Genomic DNA, 18,014 nt, shown 5'->3' with positions numbered 1-18,014 from the left:
CACAGTATGATGCCCCAAAAAACATTTCTGAGCAGGTCGATCAGGCTCTTTCCCACTTGGCTCAGGTGCCTGGGTCTGAAAGGTCCTTCCCCTGTCAGTCTACCCAGTGAATCTTACTCATCTTTTAAGACACAGCTCGTGTTCCCTCCCAGTTAAAATAGACTGCTGTCTCTTTGGGGACTATACCGCAAGCCATGTGTTATTCCATCATAGGAGTTTTAGCAAATATTCAACTTATCACTTACGGGTCTCTCTCCCATGACTAGATTACTGTAAGCTCCATTTCTGAATCATATAGGGACAATTTTGGAATTATTCACGCAGCCTGAGCACATCAGACATTGCTTAGATGCCTGCCCCTTCTCTCCCCATCTGCCCCCCAAGTTCCTACTGAGCTGTGACGTCTTGACATGAGATTCCCTCATGAAAGATACAGGTGGCTGGACAAGCTGGTTCCCCAGACCAAAAGCTGATGGGTATAAAGAGGTAATTACTATGAAAAGTAACAGTGGCACTGATGTGAAACACTAGGACACTGGAGCCCGAGCTCTTGCTGCTGAGGTCTGGGAGCTCCCTTGGATCTTGCCCTAAATAACAAGGTCGGAGATACAGCATTTGTCTATATATTGACTAGGTACTTAATTTTCTTTGTAATTACAGAAAAACAACAACAACCCATGACCCCAACTCCAACAAACAAGCAAATTACAAACTGTTCCAAATTACTTTTAATCATTTCCCACTGGATAAGTACATACCTGGCTAATTAACAAATTATACCACTCTTACAGGACAATAAGCTACCCTTTATTAGAAGCCTTTGAATTTTTGAACAATTGATTTTCTTATTAAAGTCTCTTCTGGAATTAGGATTACTCTACCACTCTTGAGAAATAGCCTTTGGATGATATGTGATCTCAACACCACTATATTAGACATCAACTTAGAGGGAAAAAATAGGTGGCACTTAACTATTATGTTGTGCATTTGAACTTCTTTGCAAAAATTTTCTACACATACAAAGATATATATCTTTAAATCTATCTATATATATATATTTTTTTGAGACCGAGTCTCACACTGTCGCCCAGGCTGCAGTGCAGTGGCGTGATCTCCACTCACTGCAACCTCTGCCTCCTGGGTTCAAGCGGTTCTCCTGCCTCAGCCTCCTGGGCAGCTGGGATTACAGGCACCCGCCACCATGCCTGGCTAATTTTTTGTATTTTTAGTAGAGACGGGGTTTCACTATGATGACCAGGCTGGCCTTGAACTCCCTGACCTTGTGATCTGCCCACTTCAGCCTCCCAAAGTGCTGGGATTACAGGTGTGAGCCACCATGCCTGGCCATATATATGCTCTTTTACAACCTGCAGTATGCTGTAACATCTTCCCACATTAATAAAGGTTGGGCCAGGTACAGTGGCTCATGCCTGTAATCCCAGCACTTTGGGAGGCCAAGGTGGGCAGATCACCTGAGGTCGGGAGTGTGAGATCAGCCTGGCCAACATGGTGAAATCCCATCTCTATCAAAAGTCAAAAAAATTAGCTGGCCATGGTGGCACATGCCTGTAATCCCAGCTACTTGGGAGGCTGAGGCAGAAGAATTGCTTGAACTTGGGAGGTAGAAGTTGCAGTGAGCCGAGATCATTCCACTGCACTCCAGCCTGGGCAACAGAGCGAGATGCTGTATCAAAAAAATAAAAAATTTTAAAAAGTTTCTGCATAGTATTCTATTGCATTTCTGTACATCAAGGCCTTTAAAATATATTGAAAATGGATATATAATTTACATACAGTAAAATGCACAAATATTAAATGTGACAACTCAATAAGTTTTTTGCCTTGCCTATGTACACATCAAAATAACCATTTCCCGGAACAAGATAGAGAACATTTTCAACACCCAAAAAAGTTCCAACATGCTCCATCCCAGACAAAACCCGACAGAACCGTATAGGTTACTACTATTCTGACTTCTAGCACCATGTATTAGTTTTGACTATTATTTAACTTCATATAAATGGATCCAGAGAATATGTATTCATTTGTGCCTTTTTTTTTGCATGATGTTGTTAATAACCTTTATTGTTACATCAGTTCAAACTGTTTTAGTGCTGTGTAGTAATTTCATTGTATGAGTCTACCATTATTTATAAATTCTCTTACTGATGAAAATTGGGGTTGTTTCTAGTTTTTGGCTATTAAGTTTTTATGAACATTCTTTTACAAGTCTTTTAATGTAAATACATGAGCTCTTTTCTCTTGAGTATATGGCTACAGATAGAGTGGCTGGGTCTTAAGGTAGAGATATACTTATCTTTATTAGAAACTGCCAAACTGTTTTCCTTTTTTTCCTAAAAGGTGTTTTTAGTCCTTATAATATTAACCTCTCTGGTGGGTATGTACTGGCATTTATTGTGGCTTAAACTTGTCTTTCCTGAATAAGGAATACTGTTGAGTTCCTTTTCATATTCTTTTGGCCATCTGAATTATTTTTTTTGTGTGAAGTATCTATTCAAGTCTTTTGCCCATTTTTAGTCAGTTTTTTGGGTTTTTTTCTTATAGTTTAAAGGAGTAATATACCCTCTGTCAGATATGTGTCAATGGTGTCTTTTCTGAGAAGTTTTAAGTTTTGATAAAGTCTATTTATCAATGTTTCCTTTTATGGCTAGTGTTTTCTGGGTTACAAGAAACCTATGCCTACCCCAAAGTCCTGAAAACATTCTCCCTTATTCTCTTCTAAATGCATTAAGGTTTTAGCTTTCACATTTTGGCCTAAGATCCATCTCAAATTATTCGTATATGGCATGAGGTAGGGATCAAGGTTATTTTTTTCCATATGGATAGCTATTAAAATTTTACTTTCCAACAGAATACATTTTATAATTCTCTTATGCGTTTTTGTTCCTGAGAACAGTTTAAAATACACCTTTAAATATTAATCTAAGTGAGGCTGCATGCAGTGGCTCACGCCTGTAATACCCGCACTTTGGGAGGCCAAAGCGGACAGATCACATGAGGCCAGGAGTTCCATCCAGACCAGCCTGGCCAACATGGCAAAACCCTGTCTACTAAAAATACAAAAATTAGCCAGGTGTGATGGCACAGTCCTGTAATCCCAGCTACTTGGGAGGCTGAGGGATGAAAATCACTTGAACCTGGGAGGTGGAGGTTGCAGTAAGCCAAGATTGTACCACTGCACTCCAGCCTGGGTGACGGAGTTAGACTCTGTCTCAAAAAAAAAAAAAAAACTAAGTGATATTAGGCTTATAGATTTCTCAATATATAATTTTACCATAATATTAATATTTTAAAAAAATTATCAAAGGTAGGACAATTAAGTAGTAAAAATAATATTCTGGACAAGTGAGTTTTACTTTGAACTTCAACAAAAGGCAGTTTATTTATAAATTCACCTGTCTTTAGTAATGCATGGTCTTTGTAGAAAATTTATAAATTAATTTACTATAATTTAAAAAGTTATTTTCTATAGCAGTTGAAATTTTATAATGAAATTGCACCTTTTGTCTTTGGCAAACAACCATGGATAGTAAAGTTTTAGGTATGATTTGACAAGAAGCATTCCATTTGACTAGAGCTGAATTTTCAAGTGGAAATACTATAATTGTCTTTAAGTATTTATATGTCTACAATGTTTGATGTTGTATCTCTTAGTGCTATCTAGCTATAATGGACATGATCACAGGATAAGTCTAAAAGAAGAGTAACTTTGCTGAGCATTCACTATGTCATTGAGCTAGATATCTCTACTACATGAATCTCACATAATCCTCACAACAACCCTACAAGAGAAATTTTATTCCCCCACCTCCACTTTATAGACAAGTGAGCCTGGAGTCAATGGCATTAAAGATTTCCCAAAGTCTATGGCTAGTAAGGGATAGAGGTGGGGCTGTAAAGAAAATCTGTCTGAATTCAAAACCCAAGATCTTTTCTCTATATAGAACTATGTTATTCTCTGGGAGAAAAATGGTTGATTGACAAAAGGCAAATTACATCTTTTAGGACATTCACTAGTAAATTACTTGTTAATAAATCAAAGCAGCAACATATTTTTCTGGATGTTTTTCTCAGGACTATGCCAGGCACTGTAAAAGATACTTAAGCATGAACCTTTGCCATAAAGGAATTTACAGTCTAGCTGAGGAGACATAGCTAACATGCACGTGTCAATTAGTGAAATAACTAAATAGTTAAGATTAATGGTTAAAGTAGGATCTAGAAACCATTGATGTTGAATAAATTTTTTAAATGAAGAACCGTGCTGGAGCACAACAAACTGACTTTTAGGTGGGACTGCATTATGAAGGGTCTTGAAAGAGGAAAACTGAGTAAAATTGAGTTTAAGCCCTTGAAGGTTTTTGATTTGGCATAAAGAAAGAGGTATTTAAGAAAGTTTTGGCTGGGTGTGGTGGCTCACACCTGCAATCCCAGCACTTTGGGAGGCCGAAGTGGGTGGATCACCTGAAGTCAGGAGTTTGAGACAAGCCTGGCCAACATGGTGAAACCCCATCTCTATTAAAAATACAAACATTAGCTGGGTGTGGTGGCGCACACCTGTAGTCCCAGCTACTTGGGAGGCTGAGACAGGAGAATCACTTGAACTGGGGAGACAGAGATTGCAGTGAGCCAAGATTACACCACTGCACTCCAGCCTGGGCAACAGAGCAAGACTCTGTCTCAAAAAAAAAAAAAAAAAAAAAAAAAAAAAGCCAGGCGTGGTGGCTCACGCCTGTAATCCCAGCACTTTGGGGGCTGAGAAGGGCAGATTATGTGGTCAGGAGATAGAGACCATCCTGGCTAACACAGTGAAACCCCGTCTCTACTAAAAAAATAAAAAATTAGCCGGGCGTGGTGGGGGGGCGCCTGTAGTCCCGGCTACTCAGGAAGCTCAGGCAGGAGAATGGCATGAACCTGGGAGGCAGAGCCTGCAGTGAGCCAAGATCACGCCACTGCACTCCAGCCTGGGTGAGAGAGACAGACTCCATCTCAAAATAATAATAATAATTATTATTATTATAAATAAAAAAAGAAAAGAAAAGAAAGTTTTGTTTAGCAGAAAAACTCAGATCTCTGAGTAGAATGTGAGGAATGAGCCGTGAAAAAAGTAGTTCATAAAGTTTTACTAGTAGAACAAGGACCTGAATGAAGGTGGTGGCAGTAAGAAACTTGGAAAACAAATGATACATAACAAAGACTAAAACTGCTCTCCAACAGTATATTGTCCACTATAAATCAGATACTATAGAAATAAGAAATATAAAAAAAACACTTAGCCACTAGCATGCTTCTCAATCACATGGAAATTCTAGATCTATCTAATTTAATCTACAGTTTCAGGAAATGGATTAATAGATCTTGATATGAGACAGCTGCTGACCCCTGTGAAAATTAAAAACATTTTAAAAGCCCTCTTCCTTTTTTGTTATCTCTAAAATAACCAGTTTTCTAGGAAAAAGGAAAAGAGTACCATATTTTTCATAATCTCTGTAATGCAAGTGCCAAGCACATGTGATTTATACCTGTTTTATGACATATGGATTCTGCCAATCATCTTTAGTTTATCAAAACTATTTTTATGAAGGGGTGCAGAGTATCATTTTCCTGAATTATTATTAGACTAGGCCACGTGTGTAAATAAATCTCTTCTTTCCAAATCTTTTATGTAAGTGCACTATTATAAGGACATATGCCCACAGAGTAAGCATACAATAAACGTTTCTTGATTAGATGACTTGGAACGTCAATCAATAACCATAATTTATATGGTAATTAATTCAGACCAATGGAGAGAAGGATTATGAAACCAAAACACAGGAAATAATTGAGAATCTTCTTCTTAGAGATTAACTTTGATTCCAATGGCTTGTTTAAATTCATGGTTTTGTGGTTCCAAGATGTCATAGAAAACTTGTTTTTTGTCAAAATGGTCTCTAATGTAAAGTAAATCTTCAACGGAATAGTTATCATTTTTTCCAGTCCAAATAGTCAGGCTGTACCTGCATTGAAATAAAACAGAATTATACAGTTAAAAGTGGAAGAAAGCGATGAGTCATTCCAATAAGCCTAAAAATGCTTTCATTTATCTCTAACTCAAATGCACTCAGATGAAAAAATTAATCAGCAATGGTGTAACTGTACTTTCATATTTCATTCTTTCATCAAGAGGGACTAGAGACAAAAAAACATTCATACTGCTGTTGTCTAAACGACATAACTGCTCTATCTGAATTGCAGGACTGTTAAATGGACTAAGAAACCAGATGAGTGGCATGGGAAATGGTTCTAATTTTGGAAAAAGGAATCGAAGAGACTATGTTGCTGATGGAGGAATCTGTAACCTGGGTTTGTTCAGGAGCCTGGTCAGGGTGAAAAGCACAATGGGAAGGGATTGTGAAGAGACACAAATGTCACTGACATCCACAATACTTAGAATCATATACGGAGGCCCTGCTGTTTCTTTTGGAGGTTTTTGTATGAGATACAAGAATGCCAAGAGATTTCACTAAGAATGACAAATAGAATACATTTAGATCTTTTTCTGATGAGCTGAAAACCAATAACCTATGTAAATTCATTATAGATGTAAGAATATGCTCAGAATGTTAATGTTACTTAAACTGTACACTTCTATTTCTTCTGGTGACACTACTACTGTTGCATTCAAGTCTAGGGAAATGCAAAGCTGTTAAGCAGTTTCATATTTATATTCCCCATAAGCTTGTCAGAATCCAGGGAAAATTTCCAAAGCATTTTTTCTACTAATGATAAGAAATAACTGCCTAACCAAGGCATATTTTCTTGTCATATTGACACATTCCTGCCCTTAAGGATGGCGACACCATTCTGGAAATACAACAGAGGAAAGTAATTTGGATATTGCCCCACAGCAGTATCATATTAGAAACCAAAAAGAATTTTAAACTACAGCTAAGGGACACAGAAAAAGAAAAGTGAAAATTAGTTCTGAAACCTATATTTTTTGCTAAAATGGAATCTCTATTACTTTATCTGGGCACCATGGTGAAAAACCTTATAAAAAGACATGGTTATGAGCATTTAGGTAAAAAGAAGAGCTTCCCAGTATTATTTTGCCTTTTTTAATATTCACTTCATTGTATTCAGACTGAAATGGAAAAAACGGCCTGAGGAAATGGATGGAAAAACATTTATATCAATGAATGGAAAAACATTCATTGATATAAATTCTCAAACTTCATTTTTTAACCTTCTTTATTGTGAAATAACACATAGAAAAAAGTACATAAAACATAAATATAAATTTTATCAGATTATTACAAAGTAAACTCCAGTGTAATAAAACAAATAAATAAAACATGGCCAGCAGCTGAGGAAGCAGCTTGGTGTCACTGCTCTACCACGATCTCCTCTCAAGTCTCCATGATCTTTAAGATTGTTAAGTATATGACAGAGAAGGAAACAGGAACTATCACAGAGTGAAGGAGGCTGAGGAGATACGATAACTAAATTCAATGCATGTTCTTGGAGAGTTTTCTGGATCAGAAGAGGAAAAAGGGTATTGTTGTAATGGTTGGTAGAATCTGAATGGGGTCTGTGGACTGTATGGTAGTGTTGTATCAACGCTGACTTCCTGACTGGGAGGCTGCATGGCAGTGATACAGAAGCTGTCCTTCTTTGGGGCGGTATCCTCTGGAGTACTTAGGGATAATGAGGCTCATGCAGAAAAACATAAATAGAAAATTATATATGTATAGAGAAATAATGGACAAATGCAGGAAACAATTGGGGAATCTGGGTGAAGGAGATGTGGTAGTTTTTGCAACTTTTCTGTAAATTTAAAACTTTTGAAAAATAATCGTAAATCACTCCTATAAAAGACAGTTTAAAAAAAAAAAAAAGGCAGGGCACGGTGGCTCATGCCTGTAATCCCAGCACTTGGGGAGGCCGAGGCAGGCCGATTGCCTGAGCTCAGGAGTTCAAGACCACCCTGGGTAACACGGTGAAACCAAGTCTCTACTAACATACAAAAAATTATCTGGGTGTGGTGGCGCACGCCTGTAGTCCCATTAACTCGGGAGGCTGAGGTACAGGAATAGCTTGAGACTTGGAGGTGGAGGTTGCAGTGAGCTGAGACAGTGCCACTGCACTCCAGCTTGGGCTACAGAGTAAGACTCCATCTCAAAAAAGGAAACAAAAACAAGAACAAAACAAAACAAAACAAAAAGTAAAAAAACAAAACTCCATTAATTTTCAAATAAAGGAAGAGGCAAAGTTATTCAAAGCGAACAAAAAGACAACGGGAATTGAGGTTAAAAAAAATCATTAAATAAGACCAAGAACACCATGGTAAAGGTGTAATTCTTAATGAAGAGAAAATAGGTATGAATGTGTACACAACAGATAGCATATCATGAACATTTAAAAAGGAAAAACTATGAAGGTGGATGAGGAAATAGACAAAAATATCTTAAGAGTTGGAAATGACATATTTGTACATATGAAAAATAACACATTTACAATAAGGTTATTCACGAAAACAATGTAATATAAAATATTAGAAATATGCCAAATGCCCATCAAAAGGAGGCAAGTCAATTATAGTACATACATAAATATCATACACCTAGGAAAGAAAAACAAGAAAGTTTACTTCAGAAAGAGCTCCACCATGTATTAAGTCAAAAAAAAAAAAAAAAAGAGGAAGGAAAAGAAAAAAAAAGCAAAGAAAAGAACAGAACCAAGAAGCAAGGTGTATGACATACCATAACATCTTTTGTTTTAAAAAGAAGGGGGACCAGACACGGTGGCCCACGCCTGTAATCCCAGCAGTTTGGGAGGCCGAGGCGGTGGATCACTTGAGGTCAGGCGTTCAAGACCAGCCTGGCCAATGTAGCAAAACCCCGTCTCCACTAAAGATAAAAAAAAATTAGCTGGGTATGGTGGCGGGTGCCTGTAATCCCAGCTACTGGGGAGGTTGAGACACGAGAATCACTTGAACCTAGGAAGCAGAGGTTGCAGTGAGCCAAGATCCTGCCACTGCACTCCAGTCTGGGCAACAGAGCAAGACTCCATCTGAAAGAAAGAAAGAAAAGAAAGAAAGGAGGAAAGGAAGGGAGGGAAGGAAGGAAGGAAGGAAGGAAGGAAGGAAGGAAGGAAGGAAGGAAGGAAGGAAGGAAAGAAAGAAAAGAAAGGAAGGAAGGAAGGAAAGAAAGAAAGAAAGAAAGAAAGAAAGAAAGAAAGAGAAAGAAAGAAAGAAAGAAAGAAAGAAAGAAAGAAAGAAAGAAAGAAAGAAAGAAAGAAAGAAAGAAAGAAAGAAAAAGAAAGGCTGGGTGCGGTGGCTCATGCCTGTAATCCCAGGACTTTGGGAGGCCGAAGCAGGTGGATCATGAGGTCAAGAGATAGAGATCATCCTGGCCAACATGGTGAAACCCCATCTCCACTAAAAATACAACAAATTAGCTGGATGTGGTGGTGCCCACCTGTAGTCCCAGCTACTTGGGAGGCTGAGGCAGGAGAATCACTTGAACCCGGGAGGTGGAGGTTGCAGTGACCCGAAATCGCGCCACTGAACTCCAGCCTGGTGACAGAGTGAGACTCTGCCTCAAAAAAAAAAAAATTAATAAAATAAAAATAAAAGTAAAAAGGAAGGGAAATTAGATGCTATATTTACATTTACTCTTATATGTATAAAGAAACTAACAATTGTAGTTAGTGACATTGGGCAGGAAGACTGGGTAGATGAGAGAAAGCCTTTTCACAGTGTAAGTCTTTATTCTATTAAGTTTTTGAATTAATTTTTTTGTTTGAAAAATTAAATTTAAAATACTTTTAAAAGAAAACAAAAAGTAACACACAAAAAACTTAAATAAAATAACATTAATAATGTTTTATTAATGTATGACAGAAGCTGGTAGTTTTACTCCAATATCCATTCTCCTTTTTCTTTCTAACAAACTCCTGAATTCTAACTAGACACAAGGTTGTACAAAATAAGATCTACATTTCCCAGCTTTACCTGTAACTAAGTACAGGTACATAACTGAGTTATAGCCAATGTGTTATAACAGGAAGACCTGTAACATGAGTAAAACTGCAGAATAGGAGTTTTTATCCCTTGTCTACCCCACTGAAACACCGATTTTGACAACTACTCATGGATAAAAGTACCTTTGTGGGAACCCAGGAGTCCAGTGGAAAGACTCCGCTACGACATTGGAGCGTACACACACACAAAATCTGAGAATAGACGCATTGAAGAAGGTAAAACATTTCACTTTACCCACATTACCCCTCCTCTAAGGCAGCACAGTTCAGTGCCAACAAAGACCTCCTTGGCCTGTGTACTCTCCTACGAGGAAAAGTAAAAGTGTAGTAAGCACCTAGCTTCACTCCCCATGTGGGATGCTGCTCTTCCTCTCACCCCACCCAGAACGCTGAAGGGATCAGCAAGGTTGATTAGTCCAGGAGCGACAGGAATTGGAAAATGGCAGAGGCTCACTTACTTTTAATTTTAGTGGGTACATAGTAGGTATTTATATTTATGGGGTACATGAGATGTTTTGATGTAGGCATGTACTATGTAATGATCACTTGAAAAATAGGGTTCCCACCCCTCGGGTATTTATCCTTTGTGTTACAAACAATTCAATTATACCCTTTTAGTTATTTTTAAATGTACAATTAAATGAACCCCATTGTGCTATCACATATTAGGCCTTATTCATTCAAACTATTTTTTCATACTTATTAGCCATTCACACCTCCCCCCAACACCCACCACCACTACCTATCCCCGCCTCTGGTAAACCACCCTCCTCTCTATCTCTATGGGTTCAATTGCTCCAATTTTTAGAACCCACAAATAAATAAGAACATGAGATGTTTATCTTTCTGTGCCTGGCTTATTTCACTTAACATAATGATCTCCAGTTCCACCCATGTCGTTGCAAATGACAGGATCTCATTCTTTTTTATGGCTGAATATATTCCATTGTGTGTAAGTACAATATATATACTTTAATCTATTCATCTGTTGATGAACACTTTGGTTGCTTTCAAATCTTGGCTATTGTGAATAGTGCTGCAACAAACATCGAAGTACAGCTATCTCTCCGATACACTGATTTCCTTTCTTTTGTTTACATACCGAGCAGTGGGATTGCTGGATCATATGATAGCTCTATGTATAGTTTTTTCCTCAAAAAACTAAGACCTGTCTGGGCACGGTGGCTCACACCTGTAATCCCAGCACTTTGGGAGGCCAAGGTGGGCAGACAGCCTGAGGTCAGGAGTTTGAGACCAGCCTGGCCAGGATGGTGAAACTCCGTCTCTACTAAAAATACAAAAAAAAAATGAGCTGGACTTGGTGGCGGGCGCCTGTGATCCCAGCTACTTGGGAAGCTGAGGCAGGAGAATCGCTTGAACCTGGGAGGCGGAGGTTGCAGTGAGCCGAGATCACGCCATTGCACTCCAGCCTGGGCAACCCAGTGAGACTCCATCTCAAAAAAACAAAACAAAACAAAACAAAACTAAACTAAACTAAACTAAAACCCTCGTACCAACAGCATACTAGGGTTCCCTTTTCTCCACATCCTTGCTAGCATTTACTGCCTGTCTTTTGGATAAAAGCCATTTTAATTGGGGTGTGATGATATCTCATCGTAGCTTTGATTTGCATTTCCCTGATAATCAATGATGTTGAGCAACTTTTCATATGCCTGTTTGCCATTTGTATGTCTTTTTTTAAGAAATGTCTATTCAAATCTTTTGCCCATTTTAAGATCAGATTAGATTTTTTCCAGTAGAGTTGTTTGAGCTACTTATATATTCTAGTTATTAATCCCTTGTTAGATGGGTAGTTTGCAAATGTTTTCTCCCATTCTGTACATTGTTTCTTCACTTTGTTGACCATTTCCTTTGCTGTACAGAAGCTTTATGACTTGATGTGATCCCATTTGTCCATTTTTGCTTTGGCTGCCTTGCTTGTGGGGTATTACTAAAGAAATCTTTGCCAAGACCAATGTCTTCAAGGGTTTCCCCAATGTTTTCTTGCAGTAGTTTCATAGTTTGAGGTCTTAGATTTAAGTATTTAATCCATTTTGATTTCATTTTGGTATACAGTAAGAGACGGGTCTAATTTCATTCTTCTGCATATGGCTATCTAGTTTTCTCTGCACCATTTACTGAAGAGACTAATTTCCCCAGTGTATGTTCCTGGCAGCTTTGTGAAAACACTGTAGGTGTGTGCATTTGTTTCTGGGTTCTCAATTCTGTCCCATTGGCCTCTGTGTCTGTTTTTATGCCAGTACAATGCAGTTTTGGTTACTATAGCTCTGTAGTATAATTTGAAGTCAGGTAAATGTGATTCTTCCAGTTTTGTTCATTTTGCTTAGGACAACTTCGGCTATTCTGGGCCTTTGTGGTTCCATATACAGTTTAGGATTTTTAAAATATTTCTGTGAAGAATGTCATTGGAATTTTGATAGGGACTGCATTGAATCTACAGATTGCTTTAGGTAGTATGGATATTTTAACAATATTAATTCTTCCAATCCACAAACATGGAATATCTCTCCATTTTGGGGTGTCCTCTTCAGTTTCTTGCACCAGTGTTTTATAGTTTTAATTATAGAGATCTTTCACTTCTTTGGTTAATTCCTAGGTAGTTAATTTTAATTGTGGCTATTCTAAGTGGGATCACTTTTCTGATTTCTTTTTTAATTGTTCACTGTTGGCATATAGAAATGTTAGCAATTTTTGTATGCTGATTTTGTATCCTGCAACTTTACTGAATTTATTAGTTCTAATAGTTTTTTTATGTGGAGTCTTTAGGTTTTTCCAAATATAAGATCATATCATCTGCAAACAAGGATAATTTGACTTCTTCCTTTCCAATTTGGATGTCCTTTATATATCTTTCTTGTCTGATTGTTCTCCCTAGGACTTCTAGTACTATGTTAAATAACAGTGGTGAAAGTGGGCATCCTTGTCTTGTTCCTCGTCTTAGAGAAAACGCTTTCAGTTTTATCCCACTCAGCATAATACTAGCTGTGGGTCTGTTGTATATAGCTTTTATTACGTTGAGGCATGCTCCTTCCATACCCAGTTTTTTTGTGGGTTTTTATCACGAAGGGATGTTGAATTTTACCCAATGTTTTTTCAGCATCAATTGAAATGATCATATGGTTTTTGTCCTTCACGCTGTTAATACGATGTATCACAGTGATTGATTTACATGTGTTGAACCATCCTTTCATCCCTCGGATAAATCCCACTTGGTCATGATGAATGATCTTTTTAATGTATTGGTGAATTCAGTTTGCTAGTATTTTGCCAAGGATTTTTGCATCAATGTTCATCAGTAATATTGATTTGTAGGTTTTTTTTTTAATGTGTCTTTGTCTGTTTTTGGTATCAGGGTAATGCTGGCCTTGTAGAATGAGTTTAGAAGTATTCCCTCCTCCTCTATTTTTTGGATAGTTTGAATAGGACTGGTGTTAGTTCTTCTTTAAATGTTTGGTAGAATTCAGCAGTGAAGCCATCGGGTCCCAGGGTTTTCTTTACTGAAAGACTTTTTATTATAGCTTCAATCTCATTACTTGTTATTGGTCTGTTCAGATTTTAGATCTCTTCATGGTTCAATATTGGTTGGTTGTATGACTCTAGGGATTTGTCCATTTCTTCTAGATTTTCCAGTTTATTGGCATATAGTTGCTCACAGTAGCCACTAATAATTCTCTGGATTTCCACAGTATCAATTGTAATGTCTCCTTTTTCATATCTGATTTTATTTATTTGGATTCTCTGTTTTTTCTTAATCTGGCTAAAGATTTGTCCATTTTCTTTAACTTTTCAAAAAGCCAACTTTTTGTTTCATTGATCTTTTATACTGTTTTCATTTCAATTTCATTTATTTCTGCTCTTTTTTTTTTTTTTTTTTTGAGATGGAGTCTCGCTCTGTTGCCCAGACTGGAGTGCAGTGGTGTGATCTCGGCTCACTGCAATCTCTGCTGCCCAGGTTCAACTGATTCTCCTGCATCAGCCTCCTGAGTAGCTGGGATTACAGGTGCGTGCCACCACACCTGGTTAATTGTTGTATTTTTAGTAGAGAGGGTTTCGCCTTGTTGGTCAGGCTGGTCTCAAACTCCTGACCTCAGGTGATTCACTGCCTTGGCCTCCCAAAGTGCTGGGATTACAGGCGTGAGACACTGTGCTCGCTCGGCCTGATCTTTATTATTTATTTTCTTCTACTAATTTTGGGTTTGGTTTGCTCTTGCTTTTCTAGTTTTTTTGTTTTGTTTTGTTTTGTTTTTTGAGATGGAGTCTCGCTTTGTCACCTAGGCTGGAGTGCAGTGGTGTGATCTCGGTTCACTGCAAGCTCCGCCTCCCAGGTTCACACCATTCTCCTGCCTCAGCCTCCCGAGTAGCTGGGACTACAGGCACCCGCCACCACGCCCGGCTATTTTTTTGTATTTTTAGTAGAGACGGGGTTTCACTATGTTAGCCAGGATGATCTTGATCTCCTGACCTCGTGATCCACCCGCGTCAGCCTCCCAAAGTGCTGGGATTACAGGTGTGAGCCACAGTGCTCGGCCTTGCTTTTCTAGTTTTTAAGATGCACTGTTAGGTTATTTGAAGTTTTAAAAATTTTCGATGTAGGCACTTATAGCTATAAGCTTCCATCTTAGTATGGCTTTTGCTGCATCTGCTAGGTTTTGATATGTTGTGTTTCCATTATCATTTGTTTCAATAAAATTTTCAATTTCTTTCTTAATTTCTTCATTGACCCACTGGCCATTCAGGAGCATATAGTTTAATTTCCATGTATTTGTATAGTTTCCAAAATTCCTCATTATTGATTTCTAGTTTTATTCCATTGTGGTCAGAGAAGATGCTTGATATTATTTCAATTTATTGAATGTTGTTAGACTTGTTTTGTGATCTAATATATGGTCTACCCTGGAGAATGATCCATGTGTTGAGAAAAAGAATGTGTATTTTGCAGCTGTTGGATGAAATGTTCTGTAAATATCTGTTAGATGCATTTGCTCTATAGTGCAGATTAAGTGACATGTTTCTTTACTGATTTTCTATCTGGAAGATCTGTCCAATGTTGAAAGTGGGGTGTTGAAGTCTCCAGCTATTATTGTATTGGAATCTAACAGCTTAGCTCTAATAATATTTGCTTTATATATCTGGGTGCTCCAGTGTTGGGTTTATATATATTTACAATTGTTATATCCTCTTGCTGAACTGACTCCCTTATCATTATATAGTGATCTTCTTAGTCTCTTATAGTTTTTGTGTTGACATTTTTTTTTATTATACTTTTAAGTTCTAGGGTGCATGTGCACAACATGCAGGTTAGTTACATATGTATACATGTGCCATGTTGGTGTGCTGCACCCATTAACTCATCATTTACATTAGGTATATCTCCTCATGCTATCCCTCCCCCCTCCCCCCACCCCACAACAGGCCCCGGTGTGGGATGTTCCCCACCCTGTGTCCATGTGTTCTCATTGTTCGATTCCCACCTATGAGTGAGAACACACAGTGTTTGGTTTTTTGTCCCTGTGATAGTTTGCTGAGAATGATGGTCCCTACAAAGGACATGAACTCATCCTTTTTTATGGGTGCATAGTATTCCATGGTGTATATGTGCCACATTTTCTTAATCCAGTCTATCATTGATGGACATTTGGGTTGGTTCCAAGTCTTTGCTATTGTGAATAGTGCCACAATAAACATATGTGTCCATATGTCTTTATAGCTGCATGACTTATAATCCTTTGGGTATATACCCAGTAATGAGATGGCTGGATCAAATGGTATTTCTAGTTCTAGATCCTTGAGGAATCACCACACTGTCTTCCACAATGGTTGAACTAGTTTATAGTCCCACCAACAGTGTAAAAGTGTTTCTATTTCTCCACATCCTCTCCAGCACCTGTTATTTCCTGACTTTCTAATGATTGCCATTCTAACTGATGTGAGACGGTTTCTCATTGTGGTTTTGATGTGCATTCTCTGATGGCCAGTGATGATGAGCATTTTTTCATGTGTCTGTTGGCTGCATAAATGTCTGCTTCTGAGAGGTGTCTGTTCATATCCTTCGCCCACTTTTTGATGGGGTTGTTTGATTTTTTTCTTGTAAATTTGTTTGAGTTCTTTGTAGATTCTGGGTATTAGCCCTTTGTCAGATGGGTAGATTGTAAAAATTTTCTCCCATTCTGTAGGTTGCCTGTTCACTCTGATGGTAGTTTCTTTTGCTGTGCAGAAGCTCTTTAGTTTAATTAGATCTCATTTGTCAACTTTGGCTTTTGTTGCCATTGCTTTTGGTGTTTAGTCATGAAGTCCTTGCCCATGCTTATGGCCTTAATGGTATTGCCTAGGTTTTCTTCTAGGGTTTTTATGGCTTTAGGTCTAATATTTAAGTCTTTAATCCATTTTGAATTAATTTTTGTATAAGGTGTAAGGAAGGGATCCAGTTTCAGCTTTCTACATATGGCTAGCCAGTTTTCCCAGCACCATTTATTAAATAGGGAATCCTTTCCCCATTTCTTGTTTTTGTCAGGTTTGTCAAAGATCAGATGGTTGCAGACGTGCGGTCTCATTTCCAAGGGCTCTATTCTGTTCCATTGGTCTATATCTCTGTTTTGGTACCAGTACTATGCTGTTTTGGTTACTGCAGCCTTGTCGTATAGTTTGAAGTCAGGTAGCATGATGCCTCCAGCTTTGCTCTTTTGGCTTAAGATTGTCTTGGCAATGCGGGCTCTTTTTTGGTTCCATATGAATTTTAAAGTAGTTTTTTCCAATTCTGTGAAGAAAGTCATTGGTAGCTTGATGGTGATGGCATTGAACATATAAATTACCTTGGGCAGTATGGCCATTTTCACGGTATTGATTCTTCCTATCCATGAGCATGGAATGTTCTTCCATTTGTTTGTGTCCTCTTTTATTTCGTTGAGCAGTGGTTTGTAGTTCTCCTTGAAGAGGTCCTTCACATCCTTTGTAAGCTGGATTCCTAGGTATTTTATTCTCTTTGAAGCAATTGTGAATGGAAGTTCACTCATGATTTGGCTCTCTGTTTGCCTGTTATTGGTGTATAGGAACGCTTGTGATTTTGGCACATTGATTTTGTATCTTGAGACTTTGCTGAAGTTGCTTATCAGCTTAAGGAGATTTTGGGCTGAGACAATAGGGTTTTCTAAATATACAATCATGTCATCTGCAAACAGGGACAATTTGACTTCCTCTTTTCCTAATTGAATACCCTTTATTTCCTTCTCCTGCCTGATTGCCCTGGCCAGAACTTCCAACACTATGTTGAATAGGAGTGGTGAGAGAGGGCATCCCTGTCTTGTGCCAGTTTTCAAAGGGAATGCTTCCAGTTTTTGCCCATTCAGTATGATATTGGCTGTGGGTTTGTCATAAATAGCTCTTATTATTTTGAGATACGTCCCATCAATACCTAGTTTATTGAGAGTTTTTAGCATGAAGGGCTGTTGAATTTTGTCAAAGGCCTTTTCTGAATCTATTGAGATAATTATGTGGTTTTTGTCTTTGGTTCTGTTTATATGCTGGATTATGTTTATTGATTTGTATATGTTGAACCAGCCTTGCATCCTAGGGATGAAGCCCACTTGATCGTGCTGGATAAGCTTTTTGATGTGCTGTTGGATTTGGTTTGCCAGTATTTTATTGAGGATTTTTGCAGCGATGTTCATCACGGATATTGGTCTGAAATTCTTTTTTTGTTGTGTCTTTGCCAGGCTTTGGTATCAGGATGATGCCGGCCTCATAAAATGAGTTAGGGAGGATTCCCTCTTTTTCTATTGATTGGAATAGTTTCAAAAGGAATGCTACCAGCTCCTCTTTGTACCTCTGGTAGATTCAGCTGTGAATCCGTCTCGTCCTGGACTTTTTTTGGTTGGTGGGCTATTAATTATTCCCTCAATTTCAGAGCCTGTTATTGGTCTATTCGGAGATTCAACTTCTTCCTGGTTTAG

At 38.1% G+C, this 18,014-nt stretch overlaps 1 protein-coding gene across 9 annotated transcripts in view; it reads right to left on the bottom strand.

Annotated features, from left to right (window-relative positions):
- Positions 1-5,129: 5,129 nt before the first annotated feature.
- FAM151B (family with sequence similarity 151 member B) overlaps positions 5,130-18,014 on the bottom strand; it is a 54,464-nt gene continuing 41,579 nt past the window's right edge. For all 9 annotated transcript variants that reach the window (NM_205548.3, XM_011543235.3, XM_011543234.3 and 6 more), the window contains one exon: positions 5,130-6,020. In NM_205548.3, the coding sequence (NP_991111.2) occupies positions 5,861-6,020 (160 nt within the window). In that variant the 3' untranslated portion in view covers positions 5,130-5,860. The remainder of the gene's footprint in view (positions 6,021-18,014) is intronic.

This window comes from Homo sapiens, chromosome 5, assembly GCF_000001405.40.
Source record: "Homo sapiens chromosome 5, GRCh38.p14 Primary Assembly".
NCBI classification, from domain to species: Eukaryota; Metazoa; Chordata; class Mammalia; order Primates; family Hominidae; genus Homo; species Homo sapiens.
Note: the sequence above shows the minus strand (reverse complement) of the source record. Positions and strands in the feature narration are given on the sequence as shown.